At 38.3% G+C, this 22541-nt stretch overlaps 1 protein-coding gene and 1 long non-coding RNA gene across 14 annotated transcripts in view; one reads left to right on the forward strand and one right to left on the reverse strand.

Moving 5' to 3' along the window:
* Window positions 1–22541, forward strand: part of TENM2 (teneurin transmembrane protein 2) — a 1285129-nt gene that overhangs the window by 659015 nt on the left and 603573 nt on the right. The window lies entirely within an intron of this gene.
* TENM2-AS4 (TENM2 antisense RNA 4) lies at window positions 15499–22098 on the reverse strand. The gene is made up of 2 exons (XR_007059037.1): window positions 22015–22098; window positions 15499–15884 (listed from the first exon to the last, which is right to left on the reverse strand). It is a non-coding gene; the product is annotated as a TENM2 antisense RNA 4 (long non-coding RNA).

Genomic DNA, 22541 nt, shown 5'->3' on the forward strand with positions numbered 1-22541 from the left:
AGATTATAAAGTTCTATGGTTTGGACTATAAAGACAGAACAGGGCAGGTGTGTGTGTGTGTGTGTGTGTGTGTGTGTGTGTGTGTGTGTGTGTGTGTGTGTCAGGGGGCATGCATACACAAGTGCACATGCATTCATTCACACTGGAAAATTCATTGACCAGGATAACAGTTTGACTCTCAAGTTATTATTTTCTTTCTTTAATTGTCCACATATAATCTTAGCACTTACCAAAAGCTGATCTGAAAAGGAGCTTTAGGAACAAAGGACATCACCTAGGCACAAATAATCACTTAATTTATGTTAATAGCACCCCAAGTCTGGACAGCAGCTATCAGTTAAATAGACCAAAAATTAGACTGAGATCAAAATTACTAGCCCAAGCACAGTATTAATTTTCTGATTGATGGTGAGTAAGAGAAAACTACTGGGCTGAGCTTCAGCTGTATTTCAGGGAACCTGTACATTTCTTCTAATTTATAAAGTATAATAAATGAATTACCAAGAAGGATTAGAAGACAGAGTGTGAAGGATGAAGCATTCCTGTATTCCCCTGATGTCAGTTGATCTATTAAATTAACAAGCATATAGATAGATTATTTAAAGATCAATTTAGCCACGAATTGCTTTCAAATGAATACATCAGGCATCAAGCCTTTTCTCTGAGATCGTTTTGTAATTGGAATACATATTACACACAACTTCTCATCACAGGACTCAAGCAGTTTCAATCAGGAGGCTTTGCTCTTTCTGCAAAGTGTGTGAAAATCAAAAATGAGCAGATCCACTTCATTATGTATAATGAGGAGATCTGTAGTTACTCTAAGTAATCGCTGAAAAGAATTGCTAGAAAAATACTCCTTGCTCACATCACTGGCACTGGGCTAACACTTGTCTCTCAGAAAATCTTTTCAGCATGAAAGTTTTGGAATTAAGTTCCTAATAAACTTAGAAAGTCCAACAGCTGTGAGTAATTATGATACAAGCATATCAATCCATGTGCAAACAGATTTATTCGGTAAGCTCCAATCCTCTTGCTAACCCTTCACTGCAATAATTAAGCACACTCTAATGAGTTTGTTAGTAATTTCCATATGATTTTCCTCCTAATTATTATTTGAGTTGCCCATGTTTATAATACTTAGTAATATCCTTAAAGTATCAATGGTGAAGACACAATTTTGGCTGGTGTATTAATTTGTATTTCCTTATTCATATGCTAAATAAACCAGGAGAAAACATTCATTTAAAGGTCAAAATTTTTGGAATAGGATTTTATGTGTGTGTATGCTCATTTCTTATACACTTATTCAATACCCATGAAGCAAATGAGTCATCTTAGCCTAAATCAGGTCATGTCATTCCCTGCTTAAAGAACTCCGAGTTCTTATCATGGCTTTCAAATACCATTCTGACTTTGTCTCTTACCACTTGCTACACAATTGGCTTCAGAATACTGACCTTCTTCCTGCTTCACAAAAAGGCCAAGCTGGTTTATATCATAGGGTCTTTGAACTTAGGACAGTTATGCCTGGAATATCCTTTTCCCATCATTTTATGTAGATGGCTCCCTTTTATCATCAAAAAGGGGTCCACTCAGATATCACTTCATCAGGGAAAACCTTGACTTTTAGCTGCAATAGAGCTTTAGCCAGCCATTCTCTATCATCTCACCCAATCTTATTGTTTTAAAAAAAACCCATCACTCTCTTAAATGAGCTAGTTGGTTTATTCACTCCTCTTTCTTACACCTAGACTCTAAGCTTCACTGTTTTCCTAAAACAGTGCCTGGTACATGGTAAATTCTTAATGAATATTTTTACAATGAATGATTTGTTGAATGGATAGCTGGAGCAGGAAGGAATGTCAGCTGTCTGATCTACCACTCAGTTTATAGATGAGTAAACTGACATATATTTGCATCTATGATTTGTCACCAAAATGACACAGCCTGATAGTGCAGTTCTAGGAAATTATGTCCCAAGCTTCCTGACTCCTGGTCCAATGCACTGGTCATCCTGCTGCCTGCCTTCACTTTTTTTCAATCTGTCTGGTTGTGGTTGTTGAGATATATGTTTACACACAATATGTACTTGGGCACTATTTAAAGATTTTGAGAATCAAAACCCTACCAACTTCAATTCTTTCTAGCTATATGGACAAGTCACGTAACCTCCCCGGACTTTGGTTATCTCGTTTCTAATATGGATAGTAGTCATATACTAGCTGTGCCCCACCAGGCAAGTGATTGTGAGAACGAAGTAACAAAACAAATTGCAGATTTGCTTGGTATGGCCGGGCGCGGTGGTTCATGCCTGTAATCCCAGCACTTTGGGAGGCCGAGGCAGGTGGATCACCTGAGGTCAGGAGTTCAAGACCAGCCTGGCCAACATGGCAAAACCCTGCCTCTAACTAAAAATACAAAATTAGCCAGGTGTGGTGGCACATGCCTGTAATTCCAGCTACTCGGGAGGCTGAGGCAGGAGAATTGCTTAAACCCATGACGTGGAGGTTGCAGTGAGCCGAGATCATACCACTGCACTTCAGCCTGGGTAAACGAGAGCGAAACTCCATCTCAAAAAAAAAAAAAAAAATTATTTGGTAAACTGGAAATATATACCTTGCAATGATAATAATTAAGACCCGGATACCACTTAGTAACACAGTATAAAGCAGAAATTAATTCTTGTTACGTACACTTTTAAATAGATTCTGACACTGAAATTCCATAGATATCACATAAGGCAGTGTTACCTATAGAGAAATAGAAACAAAAATAGAAATAGAAATATATATATCCATATATATATATATATCCATATATATATATATATATATATATATATATATATATATATATATATCTTTCTCTTAAGCTTAGTGGTTCTCAAAGAGTGGTCCTCACATCAGCATATCACCACCACCTGAAAACTTGTCAAAAATGCAAAAATCCTGACCGACCTCAGACCTGCTGAAGTGGAAACCCTAGGAGTCAGCTAAACAATCCGTGTTTTATCAAGCCCTCCAGGGAATTCTGATGCCCACTCAAGTTTGAGAACTTTTGCCTTATATGATTGAATAAGGCAAACAAAATAACTTTTGTAATTAATGAAGCCTTACTGTGTCCATGCATGTTTATAGAAGTTCATTGCAAAACCTAAAAGTTAATACTGCCTCAAAATCTAAAAAATTAAAATTGCATCAATACGTGTCGCCTACTTATTTTCATGGCAGAAGGCTCGCAGAACCAAATAAACCACGGGGAGTAGTTATCTATAATGAGATGGGAGACCAATAATTTATCACCTATATATCATGGCTGATTGCAGAAGGAGGTCATTATAATTACAAAGACACTCCTTCTAATTAGGCAGTTCAGTGAGGAAGTAAGGAACTTATCAAGATGGTTCAGGAAAAACAACAGCAAAAACCACATTTGGTTTTTGTGAAAAGATGGTCACTGGTGTTTTCTCCCAGAATTCTTGTTGCATTTCTCAAACAATCCTTCTGGAATTGACAAGGGAACAGAATGTACGGCTGTAATGGCTTACTAAATCTTACAAAGACAGTAAAAGTTACTGAGCATCAAAATCAATTTTAATCATGAAACAAATAGGTATTAGAGTCAAATCTGTCCACTTCACTTAGAACTCACTGAACCTGGGCTAGTTAGTTAACTTTCTCTGAGCTTCAGCTTCCTCGTCAGTAAAAAGGGAATTATAAAACCTGCTTCAGAGAATTGTTGCAAAGACTAAATAAAAATGCATCTAAAGGACCCACTAACATACCACCATGCCTGGCACAAAAATAACACTCACGGCAGAGCGTGGTGGCTCATGCCTGTAATCCTAGCACTTTGGGATGCCGAGGTGGGCGAATCATGAGGTCAGGAGTTCGAGACCAGCCTGACCAACATGGTGAAACCCCGTTTCTACTAAAAATACAAAAATTAGCCAGGCATGGTGGTGCGTGCCTGTAATCCTAGCTACTCTGGAGGCTGAGGCAGGAGATTCGCTTGAACCCAGGAGGCGGAGGTTGCAGTGAGCCAAGATCATGCCACTGCACTCCAGCCTGGGCAACAGAGTGAGACGCTGTCTCAAAAAAAAAAAAAAAATATGTATATATATATATAAACACTCACTTACTGGTGGCTTCCCATTTTCATCCTCCTTTAGGTAAAAAGCAGCAAATAGTTCTCTTTAAGGCTTTTTCTCTTTGCTTACTCTCCATTTTTCTGAAATATCAGGTATTCAGGGAATGAGAAGGAGACAATGAATGTGAGAAGAGAGACATGATCTCAACATATAGCAACTTAAGTGTCAGCATAGATGGTATTTACAAAATGAGCCCTGTTCTGCTGAGACAACAGAACACAGTTGACAGAAAGTCTTAAGTAGCTATCCCAAAGATATATGTGACACACAAGTAGACTCCTTTTCACTCCTCCTCCTCATCTTCCTACACACAAACATATACATTTGTTTTTTTATACACACACACACTCATGCGCACTAAACTGAATCTATTGTGAGCCTTTATTACCTATACGATGTGAAGCCATTGTTTCTTATCATTCTTGTGAAGTATAATACAAGCATCATAGCAGAGCTTAAAAGACTTAAGAGAGAAAGAAAAAGTGTAGTAGAATTGTAAAAGGATTGGACATACAGAATTCTTCAGTGGAGGAAATGCAATGCTTGGCTTAACTCAGTGAACTCAGAGAAGAAATTAAGGACTAATCTTGATATCATTTGCATGTGCATGCTAAGTTTCTGCATAGACACCAAGCCCCCCTTAGCATGTTTGTGTGGATATAGTATGTGAGAAAGGGGAACAGTGCAGGGATCATGTCTTCTTTGGACGAGGGTGTTGGAAATTGCCCCTACATGTAAATCACAGGACACAGCAATGCCACAGTGCTCAGCGGATGTTCCCACCGCTCACTGCAAAGGGGATGTGACTTTGTAATGACACCACAGCAGAAAGCTTCTCTCAAACAGCCTGCCCTGGAATTATTGTTAAATCATCTATGTATTAATTACAGCTCCTGGGTTTTCTAACAGTTTTATAGAGGTATATTTTGTATGTCATAAAATTGTCCATCTGAGGGTAGAATTCAATGATTTTTGGTAACTTTACTGAAATGCCATAACCACAAATCAGTTTTAGAACATTTTTGTCCCCCCAGTAAGATCCTTCATGACCATTTATAGTTAATCTTCATTCCCACACCCCGCCCTAGGCAATGACTAATCTGTTTCCTGTCTCTATAAATTTGCCGTTTCTGGAATTTGCCGTTTCTGGATATTTCCTACCAGTGGAATCATGCAGTATGCGGTCGCTTGTGTCTAGATTATTTCACTTGGTGTAATCTTTTTTGTGGTTTAAACATGATGTAGCCTGCGTCAGTGGTTCATTTTTTTTCCACTGCTGAATAATATTCCAACTGCTTCTGTTAAAAATAAAAAAGGCTATAAATAAATGAATATTTATTTATACCTCTATAAAAACTGAAGGGTAACACATTTCCAGTGAAGACTAAGATCCAGATTCAGAGTCAAGTTTTGTTCTCTGGATCACACAGGAACACTTGCCTGATTACACTTTCTTTCTCATTCATTTGTTCATCTTGTGAAGAAAACAAGTCAATGTTGGCTTCCCTACATCACTTAGAAATAATAATTTCACAATAGATTATTCGAACCCTAAATGGTGGAAATATAAAAGCAATTTCTGGCCAACTGTGGTTAAAAAACAAAGTTCTAGGCATTCATTTGGAGGGTGCTATGATGCAAATACGTGTTAAGTAATGCAATTGAGTTAAAAATTATCATAGTATTGAGATGAGTCATAGGAATCTGAAAATAAGTAGGAGCTTCATTACTTTTAATATTTGGAAGTAAATTAATTCAGTATCGCATAGTTTTGCTGATTTCATTTTTTTCATATTCTAATATTGTATCAGAAGGATTGCTGCAATATTTACATATTGTCTTTGCTGCATGCAATATAGTTACCCTCTCAAATTATCCACCTGGATCCATTTATTTTCATAATGGGCTTCTTTGGAAGTTGAGTTGTGGAATGTCATAAATGTTCAGGGAAAGCATGCCACTGTGGACTCAGAAATTACATTAAAAAAGCTTCCAGTACACATGTTGAATAAAAATGGGTCCTATAAAGTTTATTAACTAAGCAAATTAAACAAACTTGGTAATAGGTGTTTCACATGAAATTCCTGAAGCAGCATAAATGTGCTTTGCAACCTGAGTCCCTTGTTATTCTCACATAACATGTGGCTTTTTCTCTTTTCCCAATTTCTCTTCTAAGTGTAGCAAATGTTTCTTTCTTTCCCTGGGATGAGAGAAGTCCTTCCAAGGATGGTGTGGATTTCAAGACTCAAGCAATTCCAGAGTGTTGAAAAAGAGTCAGTAGGTGGATTTGTAATGACAAAACAATAATAGTAAAGGTGGTGACATGCACTCAGTAAATGGTAGCTACTATTTTGTATCAGGCACTCTGCTACAGACATTACGAGGCTGGAATAAGATAAACGCCTCATGACATAGCTTCTACCATTGTTCCCATATGGCAGATGAACAAACTGAGGCTCAAAGAGGTCAAGTAACTTGTCCAAAATCACAAAACTGAGTGTCAGAGCCAGGACTTAAGTCTAGCTCTGTGTAATCTTACAGCCCAGGTTCTTAACAATCATACTAAACTGTCTTTCAAAATGACAGGCACAAGACCTGTCCCTTTCACTCCTGCTGGTACTCAGTGACGTACAGTCATGCATCTTTCAACATCAAGAATATGTTCTGAGAAATGTGTCATTTGGTGATTTCATCATTGTGGGAATATGCGAGTGTACTTACATGTATCCAGCTGGTATAGCCTACTACACACCTAGGCTGTATGGGATAGCCTAGGCTGCACACCTGTACAGCATGTTATTATGTTATTGTACTGAATACTGGAGGCAATTGAAACACAATGGGAAGTATTTCTGTATCTGAACACAGAAAAGGTACAGTAAAAATATAGTATTATAATTTCATGGGATTACTGTCATACATGGGGTCTGAAGTTGACTGAAGCATTATTATGTGGTGCATGACTGTACACTAACAAGTCAAGTGACCTCTTAGGACTTAGTCTATTAATCTAAAGGATGAGAAGTACATTCTAACATCAGGTGTCTTTTCTCGAGCACAATCAAATTTTCATTTTCCCAATCTCTTATAATGACTCATGACCGGGTGAAGGAGGAATCAGTGCAAATTGCTTGTTGGGATGGAAACAGGTGCTAGAAGTGAGGAAAAAGCAATGTTCAAACGCAAAGGAAGGGTGGAGGAGGAAAGGTGTGGAGTTGCCACAGGGACTCATAGCAAGCAAAAATAAAATCCAGTTTGGAAATCCACCAGAAAATCCCCCTCAATCTCGGAGGCTTCTTTCGTGTTCTTTACAGGAAACACTTGTGTGTTCCTTTCCCTTTGTCAGGGACATATAATTTAGAAAGCAGAGAATTTGTTCTTTCTAGTTTTTCCTTTTTTTTTTTTTTCAGTAAACATGAAGGATTAAAGGGAAATAGACAACAGCACTTTTAAAGGATGCTTTTTCGTAAGACTTTCAGTGGATGTTATCCAGTAAATAAGAGTTTCACAGTATGCTATCAATGTTAGTTTGGAGAAGGAAAGGTCAAAAAGTCAAACCTTGATATCTTTATCTTTTCACAAAGGTTATTTCTGAAGGAGCTATATGTAAAAGGAAAAACAAAAGGCAAATATATACACACACCTATATATGTATATGTAATGCATATATTACAACATAGTTCTTCCAATCCTAATTATATGCCTAATGCTGGGCTTGAGTGTCTATTACTTTTTAAACTACACTTGTGCTATTATTTTTCTTATAATAAAATGAGAATAAATATGGAATTCTCTCCAGGTCCCCAGATTGCTGTCACAGCCAGCTTAGTTCACTTTATATTACCCACCTAGCTCCAGTACACACCTGAATTTGTGTCTCTTGCTCCAACACAACATATATATATACACACACACATATATATGTGCATATATATGTTTTTATATATATATGTTGTTTTCATATATATATATGTTGTTTTCATATATATATATATGTTGTTTTCATATATATATATATATATATATATATATATGTTGTTTTCTTATATATATGAAAAACAACAAAAATCCTTTCCTGTGTCACTCCAGGTAATGGGTTTCACTGTGTAACTATTCTTTTCTGCAAAAGGTTTGTGTTATTATCCTTGGGTATTATTTTCTGATGGTATCAGTGAAATGGGTCATTATTGAAGCACTGGCTTACTTATGAAAGATGTTATTAAATACTGTGGAAATACGGTTATTTCCATTAAAATACCAAAAGGAAAGAGAAATATAAAAATATAAGAGGTAGTTCTGAGGAAACCAAGCTGAACCTCGGAATATGAGACAATTGGTACTAAAAGGTGTTGTTGGGACTAATTTTTTCTTGGTGGCGATCCTGCTTTGCTTCAGTTGGACAAACGCTACGGGGCAAGAGACACAAATTCAGCTAGGCAGGTAATATCAATGCGTGAACCAGACTGGCTGTGATAGCAACCCGGGGACATAGGGAGAATTCCATATGTCCCCCCATCTTATCAAATGAAAAATAATAGCACAAGTACAGTTTTAAAAGTCATAGACATTCAACCCCAGCATTAGGCGTATAATTGGGAGTGGAAAGACTACGGCAAGCCAGATGGCTCATGAAAAGGACGCAGCTATAATTCAACTCAAGCCAATTGCTCCTTCCATCTTTTCTGAAAGTTTGGGTCAAATTCTAAAGCAGGATAACAGTTGTTCGCAGTTGAAAGGAGAGAACGCAGCAATTGAAAAGCCATTAAATACCCGGATAGGTTTTGGAGATGTGGGACAATTCCTCTACCTTGTTTATTTCTTGTAGGTAATTTGGAACTCTCATGGGTTCCAGGAGTTGAGGCGTGATAATACCAAAGATGGGACTTTAAATGACTCTGATGATGCTATGTAAGGTGGCTTGGAATAAGGAAACCAGTCCTAAGACATTACGGTAGAAGTAGACTGCAGAAGAGACATAAATATAGGTATTAGCACAATAGCATTGGAAACGACCAGACAGAGGGAAGGCTGGTGGAGTTGATGGATCCACGGTGGGGTTAAAGATCCAAGAAAATAGCCATTGACAGAGACTGTTGAGAACGATGACTCCACTGACAAAGCAGGACCATAAGAAAACGAGGATGGCCGGGCGCAGTGGCTCAAGCCTGTAAATCCCAGAACTTTGGGAGGCTGAGGCAGGTGCATCACCTGAGGTCGGGAGTTCGAGATAAGCCTGACCAACATGGTGAAACCCCGTCTCTACTAAAAATACAAAAATTAGCCGGGCGTGGTGGTGAGTGCCTGTAGTCCCACCTACTCGAGAGGCTGAGGCAGGAGAATCACTTGAACCCGGGAGGCAGAGGTTGCAGTGAGCCGAGATCGCGCCATTGCTCTCCAGCCCGGGCAACAGAGAGAGACTTAGTCTCAAAAAAAAAGAAAAGGAGGATGTTGCGAAGGGAAGGTGCTGAATTCATTCAGCATTTACTGAATTATTTCACAAGGGGCAAACATTCTCAAGGAACAGGGAAATTAATAATGCACGACTGCCCTGGAGGTGCCCCATGATCTGACCCCCATCTGTAGGAGGTGCTTGTAAGTTCAGTTTTAGATAGTTTGAGCTCAAGACACTGGCAGAACCCTTCCCAATTTAGAAACTTTGGCCTTGTCTTGACTTTCCCTCTCACTTATCTCCTACGTTCAATCTTTCGGTACAGTTTCACTGCAAGTCGCCCTGAAGTTTTGTTTCAAAGAGTGCCTGGGGCACAAGCTCTGTAAAAGCTTTGGGTACAGATTTTCTCTGTCCAAAAAGCAATCCTCAGGACTTGCTACGATGTATCCCTATGTGCAAATACCTTTGTTGAAAAACACGGAAGCCAAGCAGTGGTATAGATGAAAGCATGGTGAGCCGAACTAATCAAGTGCATTTTTGAATGTCATATTAAAATGCCTTAGTAAGAGCATCATGGGAAATGACCCATTCTGCACAGAGACTGACCAGCTTTGTCAGGCTTATGCCCAGCACCTGGCTTAGACAAAGGCTTCGACAAATACACATGGGTGTTTATCATTATGCAAAGCCAGTGTGTAATGCTTTTTCTTTTTATATTACAAAAAGTATACACACAGAAAACATATTTTTAAAAATATAATAATTAGGAATTCTACTATTTGTTGATATGCAAAAGAAGGGAATTATCTTTTGCTCACTATATGTCAGGCACTGCTCAGTTTTTCTTTACCACAGTGACCCTGTTTGGGGATCTGTTCCAGTGATGGGGACAACAGGACTGAATATTAGAAACCTAGATCATCCTAGAAAATCTGGACCATATGGTCACGTACCCGTACCTTCCTCATTTTCTCCTAACAGGGCCTGGAAACTCCAGCAAGTTATTTGGAAGTCTGTTTGATGTCAGTCTCCAGGGAGAAGCGATGCGACTGTTCTCTTGCTGCAGTCGGATGGATGTCTGTCTGAGAAAGAGGGCGGAGGGTGGAAGAGGTGCAGGGGGACCCTTCACCACAGGCTTTGATCTCCCTTGACTCCTCCTGGGATATCTCACCTTTTGATGTTGGGAATCAGTTAATTACTAGTCAAAATTGGTTTGAGGGACTAGGAAACAGTTTGAAGGCTCTGTTCTCAAAATGCCTGTACTTTGTTCTGAGGAACTTTCAGGCAACTTTCTGAAGCATCTCAGGCAAATGAGAAGGGCTCGGTCTGTGGCCCCTCCCTAGTAGCGGCCCAGATTTTGATCCTCTTGTGCTACCATGGTACCATCCTGATGCAGCAGACTTCTTTTCTCTTCAGAGCTCTGTGGTTTCATTGGTAGTGAAATGATGACTTTTAGGATTAGATTGTTAAAACATCTGTCACACCACAAAGAGTATGTAGCTTAATAATTCCCTCTTTAGGTCTTAATTTGAAACCACCACCTCTCTTTTCTGAGCAACACCTGATTAATGCTACCATGAACTTTTTCTGAGCAACACCTGAGTAGTGCTACCATCTCTTGCAACACAACCTTGATTTGTAAGGCACTATATTAAATTAGTGGGCTAGAAGTCAAATCTCCTGCCTTGCCTTTGCTGGTGCAAGTTAACATCCTCCAAGTTGACCTTAAAGGCTGCAAAATGCTTCAGGAGTTTGATGGGCAGGTGGTGCTGGAGAACTCAGCATTCTTTTCTCTTCCAAACAAGGCTACACACCTGACACCTTGCCTAGTAATGGAATTCTCCTAATGAACACGTTCCCCTAGTCTAAGGCGCTTGCACTGTGACCATACCACAGGGCTGACAAAGAGATAATTTTCAGTGCTCAGAAAAAGAAAAACACACACACACACAGAAGTCTTTTGAGACTGTCTTTTTTTCTTATGTCATGGCCTATTATGGCATTTTCATTTTAATTGCACATGAAACCCATTTAAAGCGGTGCTGTAATGGGACTGTTCCCTTGGAAAACACAGACAGGAGTGATATGGATGTGTTTTTGAGGAGTCCATTAGTTACTCAGACTGTCATCATTGTGTGCCTTGAGGGTGCTAACAATGTATTAGGTATCTAAGCAAATGTGATATATTTGATCCTCTTATATGTGAATCCCCTGTCCTCCTCCTATAAGTAGTAGATTCATATCAAAGTCTCTGGCAACAGAGTACTGCTCAGTATTTCAAAGATAAAATATGCATTCTTATGCATGTATGTTTTCTAGTTTTTCAAATGGAAATTGAGCCATATAGATAAAGCATGCAAACATTGAGACTCTGGAATTACTTATTGAAAAGAATGATTGATAAAGTGGTTATTGTGGTTGCTTCACTCTTCCCACCTCCACTTTGGAAGATAGACAGCCTGTACCTCAAAGAGTTTTAGAACTTCCTGACCTTCTGTAAGTAAAAATGTCAGTTCCCAAGGCCAGAGAAATAAAGCCACAGGGTCTTTTTCCATAAAATAAGCTGCATTCCCTGGGTCTCAATATCTTTAGTCTTCTATAGGAAACTGAAAGAATTTCCACTTTGCTTTGACTTTCCCTGCTGTGGTCCCTTCCTCATTTAGCATACTTTGTTCTTTATGCATAATTGGAAATTAATTTTCTAATTAGGTTCTTCACATTTATGAAGTTGTTTGATGGGGTGTCGGTTCTTATAACATGGCCTAAAGGCTAAAGGAGAGGTAATAATTCTTTTTTTCTGGCTTTGCCCCTAATTCAGCTAAGGTTCTTAGGAAATATATTTAACTTTTATGAGATCCCCGTAATACATCTTTAATGCTGATCTACCTTTGAAAGGTTGTTAGAAGAGTGCTAACTAGGGCTTTAAGACTCATTATGATACAGTTGATTTTATTTGTAATAGTTGCTGAAACAAAATGAAGTCATTTCTTTGGCAACATGAAGGGTATTTAGATAACTACAAGTAACAACAACTGCAGAAAATACAATCAGATGATACTGGGAGACAAAATAACATTGAACTGATACTTGAGAAGCAGAAGTGACCCTGAAGATTAAAAGGCGAGTATTTTTACTGTGAATATACAAGTAGAACTAAATCAGGTATGAGCTGTATGAGTCCGTCACCTGGATGTTCTGTGACTTGTTATATAGAACTTGAGTCTATGGTTCAACACTCTCTGATCTGTGAAGGCAAGCCAGTATAAACCAATGCATGTAAACAGTCTGTTTCTTGATTTCAGTATAAAAGTTGAAAGATAAAGCTAACCATTAGACTTGGAAGTAAAAACTAAATTCTGGAGTCACAACTTCTACATATGTCTCGGATCATGTTACTTATTACTACAGGTACAAAATAGCGTGCATGTGAGGAGAACAGGAACCAATATTGCACATTGGTAAAAGAACATCCTCATTTTATAGGAAATCATGTCATCCTACTTGAAGTGTGGCTGAAGAAAAACAATTAGATGAATACTCCTCAGCAGTCTCCAAATAAGAACTACCTTGCACACTAATTTCCATTGTGCATCAATATCCTTATTTGAATTTGCCATTCATGTATATGTCACGGCTAGGCAAAAACTGTAAGAACAAAGTGTAAGGCTGAATATATGATGATTAAAGGTAAGTGATACTCAACCTCAGAAAAAATATTTGTCTGACTCTTGACTCACTCTTTAAGTTACTTTCTAGGTTCTGCACAATGGAAATTAGTGTGCAAGGTATTTCTTATTTGGAGGCTGCTGAGGAGTATCCATCTCATTTTTTTTTTCTTGAGCCACACTTCAAGTAGGATGACATGATTTCCTACAAAATGAGGATGTTCTTTTGTCAATGTGCATTATTGGTGCCGATTCTCCTCACATGCATGCTATTTTGTACCTGTAGTAATAAGTAACATGACCCGAGACATATGTAGAAGTTGTGACTCCACAATTTAGTTTTTACTTCCAAGTCTAATGGTTAACTTAAGATCTTGTTAAGTATCAGCATAGAAAGAGGCTACATGGTAGAATGGGAATATCACTCTGCCCTGTGGGACTCAGGAGGCCTGGTCTGTGTGTCCAGCTCTAACTCTAAGTGCTTTTGTGACCTTGGACAAATTATCTAATCTCTTTGGTCCAATATAGGTCAAAGAGGTTCTTTCTGTTCTGAACACACGTAGCTTCCAAGTTCTTACCTATCACATGCAATACCCCAAGAAATTCTGGTCACTGCAACTTCTTGAACAAGATATACTGAACCCACCAGAAGAGAGTATAGCACAGTCATTAAGAGCACAGAATGCAGATGGCATATTTGGTTTTCAGCATTGCCACCTCTCTCCCACTACTTAATTGTCTTAGCCTTAATTTCTACAGCTGTGACATGGACTAACGATCTTATTTCACTAACCTTTTTCTCTTTCCCTTGCTATCTTATGCTCTTCTTTTCAGTTCTTAATGGTAGGGTTTTCTTTTGTTGTAAAGGTCTAGACAGAAGACCTTGATAAACTAGACTATGCCAAGAGCGAGGAATCATGGATTATGGATTCATCTTTGGGACTGGAAATTACTTGACCTTAAATGCACTTTCTCTATGGCATCCAAAGTCATCTTTTAAAAATGCAAATCAAATCACATTATGCCTTTGTTTAAAAACTATCAATAGTTTCTCACTGTACTATATTTAGCATAAAATCCAATCTCATTACCACATTTAACAATAATTTTGGGCTTATTCCTTGCTTTTTCTTCTTCTTTATTATTTTTATCCTCTTCTATAACTTCAGTCTCCTCCTCCTCTTCTGCCTTCAGGAGGAGAAATCTATAGCTCCAAATATGTGCTCAGTCCCTTCTTGCATTTGCAACAGTGAGGGGAACACATCCCCCTTGAATCATCCCCCTTGAATATCTGGTCAGTATGTCAAAGCTGGAATTCATCCTATCCTTCCCCCAAACCACCAAGCAACTAGCTTCTGACTTCTGTTAGTAGTATTCCTATTATTCCAGGTAACCAGCCTCACAGTCTCATTCCATTTGACTCCTCTCCATGTCTCTCTTTCCTTAATTGCTATCCTTTCTATGTATGCCTTTATTTGTACTTCCCTTTGCATTTCTACTGCCACAGTCGTCACTCACATCAGGTCTTTCGGACCTGAAATAGTGAAATAATATTCCTCTGAGTCATCTAACTTCTCCCTCTTTCGCTTTTATTACAGGTTAAAAAGCTACAAGATTAATTTTCTGGAGTACAACTCTGATCATTTGATGTCTGGGCTCCCAACATTAGCTATGTGATAAAGTCTCAACTCTTTGGCTTGACTTTCAGAGTCTAATGCAACCTGACCCTGATTACTTTTCTAGGCTAGCTTACTGCTTTTCATATATTATTCTATTGAGTCATCTCTTTATTTTTTTCAGCAAAAAATGATTGAGGACCAACAGTATACAACATCCTAGTGGTATGCTAACAATACAAACGTGAAACTTCGCAAAATAGAAGAGAGACCAAACACGCACCCAGACAGACACACACACACACTCACACACAAGTATTAAGTGGAATAATAGAAGCAAAGAATGTGATGGAAAATAGAGTAACAGGGAAGTAATTTTATATATTTATTTCTTTTTCTTTTTCTTAGAGATGGGGTCTCCTTTATTTCACAGGCTGGAATGCAAGGGTGAAATCACAGCTCACTGCAGCATTGAAGTCCCGGGCTTAAGACAATCCTCCCACCTTGGCTTCCAGAGCAGCTGGAATTACAGGCACAAGTTACCATGCCTAGCTATCTCTATATATTTAAGTAACTCTTAAAATATTCTTGAACTTGACCTTAGTTGGATAGCTTACTAATTCTAAATACTATCTCATATTTCCCACTTTTTTTTTCTTTTGCTTATATTTCTTCTTTTCAGAATGTGCTGGTTTTTAATATTCAGTATCTGGTCCGTATTTAAAGGCATACTTATTGAACTTTTATTTTTGCATCCCCAGTGTCTACTTTCCTTGGCTCCATCTCTTCCAAGCCTTCAGCCAAAGCAGTTTGAGTGAGGATTGAGCCCTTTTCCAGAGGTGGGTCATGTGACCTAGGGCTAAACCAATCAATACGCTACATTTCTCTGGCCATAGGGATTGGTTCTGGGGTGGCATGTGACAAGCTAGGCAAACAGCTAATCTGAGGGCTTTTGAAGAAACCACTGGGAAGAAGTCTTTATTCCTGTTGAACTTGCAGCTGAAAGGTTGGAAGGTCTGGGGTTGCCACATCCACTTTGTCTGTTGGAGAATGGAGCCAATCTAAAAGGAGATAGAGAAAAAAGAAATCAATTCTTGACACTGTCTCTCCTCCAAATCAAGTCACACTATGCCTCTGGAATTTTTAGTTACATAAGTCAATATTGTTTTTTTCTTACATCAGTCTGAGTCATGTTTTCTGAGAGAGAAAACAAATACAGCCATCCAATTTCAAATAGTAGTACTTTTACTAACTTTTTTTTTTTACTACCTTTATGGGTACTGCCAGTTCAATGCGGTTTTTCTCTACCATTTTGTGTCTCTCAGTTATGGCATGTATGCTGTTCAACCTCATTTTAGAGTTATTGGTAAACTTGCCTCCTACCAGATTTGAATGGACAAAAATTTCTCTTTAAAGCTCTTCATTGGCCCAGTAAATAGGGCCTGAACAAAAGTGAGACAAGTGAGGTGCACAGGGGTCCACGATGAAGAAGCACTCACTTCCAGGTGCCAAGTCTGCACTTAGCAGTCTGGAGAGCGAGTGCCTCCTTATCATTTGCTCCCTGGGCACCTCACTTGCTTTATCTATTTCTGATCCTGGTAGTGGAGTAACTACTCAATACGTGTTAGGCGAACTCGAAAGAATTTCACATTTTGCATGGGGATGGAGATGATCCAGAATTGCATTTTCTTTGCTATTATACTCATCTGACATATCTCATTCACTTTTTTTTTTTTTTACATTTACTTCATTTTGGAGTCATCTAGCATTATGCAGTGATTGCAGGGAGGGTTTGTGATGGTATTACTCTAAAAACCTCTAAATCCCATTTCCCAGCAAGAAGACAAACTAATAGCTCTGCTAAGCAATGCATCCAGAAATAACATGGAATATGGGGTAGTGAATTTCATTTTCACTCATTTACTTATATTTTCATAGCTCAGTGTCTGTTGTGGAGCCTGAATTATACAACTCATTATCTAGGTCAATCTAGTGAGCTATCCTGTCAGCACAGATGTGCTACTTTTGCAATAGAATTCTCAGTGGTAAAGTTGCTTCCAAGCTGGCACCTATTATTAGTAAAAGTATTAAATAAATAAATTATAGAAACAGTTGAAGCAATGAAGCCTACACGATAAGTGCAATAGGTTATAAACATTATGTCTTCATTATATAAGCAATTGTGTTAGTTATTTAAGATTACAGACGATCGATAGCCACATCTTGTTTGCGCTAGTGTTGGTTCACTGGTTGTAAGCAACAGAAACTGACTTCAAATAGAGAAAAGGTTTTACAAAGAAATATCAGAATCAAATCAATGAACAGGTTCAAAAGAAAAACACTAGAACAGACAGGAAGCAAGACAGCTCCAGTGAACTAGGTAGCAGGAATATATGTTGAAGTAATAAGGCATAAATAAAATGAATCTACACCAACAATTTTTCCATATATGATTCCACTAAATTTTTGTCATTGCATTACTCTAGTCAAGACCAAATCCTAGGACAATAGGTTCATTCCTGGTTATAATCATATGGCCACCTCTTGACCAAGGAAAAGCAGGCCACCTTGATTGAAAGTCCTACCAACACTGTATACAAACAACAGATGTCCATTACTTTAGTTCAGTTAGAATCTGAAAGGCTTCAACTGTGCTACTTACACATATTCTGGGCCAATTGCCAACTTGTGTTGAACATGCACAAAATCATTTTATCATGACACTTTGCTGTATCAGTCACATCACATTTGTTCAAATTTGGGAAGCATGAAGCTTCAAAAATATTCATAGATGTGTAGGTGAATTTGGTAGGAAATAATATTTGGTCTTTCTGTATGTTAATTCAACTATTTGGCTAATCAAAGTATATGATGGTGTCATCTATCAGCAAACAAATTGGACTGATCTTACTGTGAGTTTTGTTGAAACGTTTTTGACAGTAGATATGGAGAATGTCTAAGACACAAGTTTTAAACACAAAATACTATCCTAAACTAGCTCTTTTCCGCCTGCCAGGGCCACCTTTTGAATCTGTGACCTGTGCAGTTGTCTGTGCTCAGAACACTTAGGTTAACATCCTTCTGTCCTCTCTTGACTCTCTTGAAGCTGTTAATAATTTGTTAACAAAAGACCTGCAGTTTCATATTGCGCCGGGCCTTGTATATTATACAGCTAATCCTGAAAGACACAGAACCAGTGGAAGCCAGAATTACTTGCTAGTGGGAATACTCAGGCCATAAAGTGCTGCAACTTTGAGACTCTTTAAATAAATGCCATCTTTTAACACTCTAACAAGGTACAAAAATCCCAGAATTTGCACACTCCATATTCAATGCTCTTTCTTCATTGGAAGGGCAGCAGAGGTAAGGGATGGGCCATAATGGTAGAGAAGAACCATAGAAGAACCAGTGGATGCCACTGACTTAGCATGTCTCCTGAGCACATGTGAATGTTACATAAATACTCATTGAATCTTTAAAAAGATGAAAGCATGAGCACGCATGGCCTGTTTGCAGGTCCCTGAGGTGTGAACAATCGTGGCATGTTTGAGGACCAGAAAGAAGGCCAGTATGCCTGGGACAGTGAGCAAAGGCATGGTGGAAGAAGGAAAGAATGAAGTTTATGAGGGACCCAGGAACCGTGTCAAGTAAGGGCTACTAGGCCAGGGTAGGAAAGTAAACATCATGGGAAGATGACTTACTTATTATAACATCATAGTATTTTGGTACATTAAGTCTGAAGCATAAAACTTTTTTTTTGAATTTTATCTTATTTTCATTTTATTGTACTTATTAAATATATGCGTTTTTAAAACAAGTTGTGTGAAGGAAAACATATTTTATATTTACTCTGTTACAGGTTCCAAATTAAAGAAATCCCAGTTAACTTGGTTACATTATATATCAACAGCCCTTTCCTTTAATATCAAAAGGCTTTTCTTGCCTTTTAAAAGCTTTATTTTTAATGAACACATAATGTTATACATATTTATAGGGTACATAGTGATATTTTGACACATGTAATGTATAGTGATCAAATCAGAGCAATTCACGTATCTATCTTCTCAAAGATTTATCTTTTTTTTTTTTTTGCATTGGAAACATTCAAAATCTTCCTTCTAGCTATTTGAAGCTATATACTATATTATTGTTTACTGTAGTCCTACCAGTGGTACAAAACACTTGAACGTATTTCTTCCTATATAGCTGTTATTTTGTGTCCTTTAACAAATTCTGCCTATCCCCTTCTTCCCCTATGTTTCCCAGCCTCTGGTATTCTCTCTTCTACTTTTAATCTCTATGAGATCATGTTTTTGTTTGCTTTTGTTTTTTATCTTTCACATGAGTGAGAACATGGAATGCGACGTTTAACTTTCTGTTCCTGGCTTATTTCACTCAAGATAATATCCTTCAGTTCCACCCATGTTGCCATGAATGGCAGGATTTCATTCTTTTTTTGAGGCTGAATACTACTCTATTGTGTGTATGCACCACATTTTCTTTATCCATTCATCTGTTGGTGGACACCTATGTTGATTCCCTATCTTGGCTATTGCAAACAGTGCTGCAATAAGCATTCGGGGTTCAAATGTCTCTTCCATACACTAGTTTCCTTTCCTTTGGATAAATGCCCAGTAGTGGGATTGCTGGATCATATGGTAGTTTTATTTGTAGTTTTTTTAGTAATCTCCATACTGTCCTTCACAGTGGCTATTGAAGCATAAAGCTTAATACAATGTCATTTAGAGCAGAGGTGGGCCAACGTTTTCTGTAAAGAATAATAAATATTTTAGCCTTTGCTAACTGTATAGTCTCTCTTATAACTTCTTACAACTACTAAACTCTCTCACTGGGCTGAGTAAACATAGGCTATACTTTGGGTGAAAGTAGACATAGATAATCTTAAATAGAGGTTGCTGTGTTTCAACAAATCTTAGAAAAAATAGATAGTAGGCCAAATGTGGCCCATTAGCCACAGTTTGCCAGTCCCTGATCTAGCAGAGCATGGAGCCACATGCATCTATATTAGCTGCAATGCACATTAAAAATGCAGATGTTTGTGTCCTCTTCCAGATGCACTGAACCTAACTTTCTGGGTTTGAAGTCTGAAAGTCTGTGCTTAATAAGTTGCCATAGAAAGTGTTATTGCATGCTTGTCTTAGTCTGTTAGTGCTGTTATGACAGAATTCCTGAGACTGAGTAATTTATAAAGAACAGAAATTTATTTCACTTCTGGAGGCTGGGATGTTCAATATCAAAGCAACAGCATTTGAGGTCTGATGAGGACCTTCTTGCTGTGTCCTCACATGGCAGATGGCAGAAAGGCCAAATGCTGTGCGAAGCCTTTTTTTTTTTTTTTTAAGACCGAGTTTCACTCTTGTCGCCCAGGCTGGAGTGTAATGCACAATCTTGGGTCACTGCAACCTCCACCTCCAGGGTTTAAGCTATTCTCCTGCCTCGGCCTCCCAAGTAGCTGGCGTTACAGGCATGTGCCACCGTGCCCAGCTAATTTTGTATTTTTAGTAGAGATGGGGTTTCATAATGTTGGTCAGGCTGGTTTCGAACTTATGATCTCAGGTGATCTTCCCACCTCGGCCTCCCAAAGTGGTGAAGCCTCTTTTATCAAGATCTTAATCCCATTCATGGCAGTTCTGCCCTTATGACTTAATCACCTCCTAAAGGCCCCCACCTCTTAATGCTATCACAGTGAAGAATAAGTTTCAACCCATGACTTTTGGAGGATATTCAGACCACAGCAATGCCAAAATTGAGAAAGTTGAGAACCACTGGTCTAGAAGCCAGTCTATCCACTTAGGTCCCTTTCTAAGGTATTAAAAATTGTAACTGATTGACCTAGGATAGCACATGGGGTAATTTCTCAGGGTAGAAGGACTAATGTTTGGAATGGCCTGTATTCAAATTCAGAATGGATTGTTCCAGGAGACTGTAAGAAAGATCATGTAGCAAGAATAATAGCAAGGAGAGAAAGCTCTGCTAGATAAGGCTGTGCAGATCAATCCTCCCTTTGAGTTCCCTGGTTTTAATTATTGATGCTAAATATACATTTCCCTTAATTGTTTTGTGAAAATAAGTTAAATAAAGAATAAAGCCATTCTATACATGCACAGGCAAACATTACACTCTTTTCAAATAAACACTGGGATGATTCCTCGGAGTGTTCCTATTCAAATTTGGTTGCAAAATAACACCCACAGAATGTATTTCCAACCACAAAATACTGTGACAGTAAGCAGCCAGCACAAGAGAGCCTGTTATGGTTTATAGATTGCAATGATTATATTGCGGGAGCAGTTGATGCATTTGTTGGTGTTCATTCTATTTCACATTTGCATTTAAATTCCTGTGGAACAAAGATAAGATAAAGAGGAAAACAAATGATGCTTATTTGTTGTTGTATTGAACTCCTATTATAAGTATTGTTTTAAAGGAGAGTGAAGCTTTGCAAGGAAGCATTCCACATGTCCTTTACAAAACATGAAATACACTTTCAATTGTCAACTAGAAATATGCAGGAAAACATATCCCTGGGCTTTCATAAAATCATAAATCAATAAGGAATAACTGAAAATGTGGTTGAATACAAGGAAGCAAATGAAATACTCAGTACTTTCCTTTATACATTTATCCACATTTTATTGATACATAAGAAATGTAGAACTGCAATGAGTTTTGAAACACTATTCGTTTTATTTCAGGCATTCCTTTAAAGCAATGCTTGATATGTTTCCTCTTTCAAATAATCTGTGCATCCACAGCATCGTCCTTTGATGAATTTATGCAGATCAGTTCTACATCCAGGGTAATGTTTTCTGCTCCTCTAAGCTATTTTGCTGGGATCACAGGGAAAAAAAAATCTTTTTGTAGAGTTCGATTGTACCTTCTAGTTACTGACTGGGTATAAGGTTCCTCTACTCATACAAAAAGCACATCTGCCTCCCCATATGATGTGTTTGCCATAATTAATTTCAGAAGAAGAATGAGATAATGTTACCTCTTCCTCTCAAATTAGTAAGTTGCATATCAGTGCCTAGAACTTATTTAAATCATTTTTAAAACATCACACTCATTTCTGTAAATACACCTGAAATAAGGTAAAAATTAACAATTAAATGACAACAGTTAATTATATGATGTATCTGAACTCATAAGCAAAAATTTCTCTGACTTTACCATGCTTTACGGTGCTTTTCTCAAAGGAAGCATTAGTCAGGTCCTTTTCTGGATGCTGGCAGTGACAGCCTGGAAGCATTCCTTAAAGGGAGGGCTGTAGAATGTCCTTAATAAGAGATGTTGGACTGGGCGTGGTGGCTCAAGCCTGTAATCTCAGCACTTTGGGAGGTCGAGGCTGGCAGATCACGAGGTCAGGAGATCGAGACCATCCTGGCTAACACGGTGAAACCCCGTCTCTACTAAAAATACAAAAAAAAATTAGCCAGGAGTGGTGGCAGGCGCCTGTAGTCCCAGCTACTCGTGAGGCTGAGGCAGGAGAATGGCGTGAACCCGGGAGGTGGAGCTTGCAGTGAGCCGAGATTGTGCCACTGCACTCCAGCCTGGGCGACAGAGCAAGGCTGTGTCTCAAAAAAAAAAAAAAAAAAAAAAAAAAAAGATATTACACCAAAATTAAATGTGGTGGTCAAATTAGAATAATTATGTCTAAAAACCTCTGCTTCCTTTTTGTCCCTTCTTGGATATTGATA

Source organism: Homo sapiens, chromosome 5, assembly GCF_000001405.40.
Source record: "Homo sapiens chromosome 5, GRCh38.p14 Primary Assembly".
NCBI classification, from domain to species: Eukaryota; Metazoa; Chordata; class Mammalia; order Primates; family Hominidae; genus Homo; species Homo sapiens.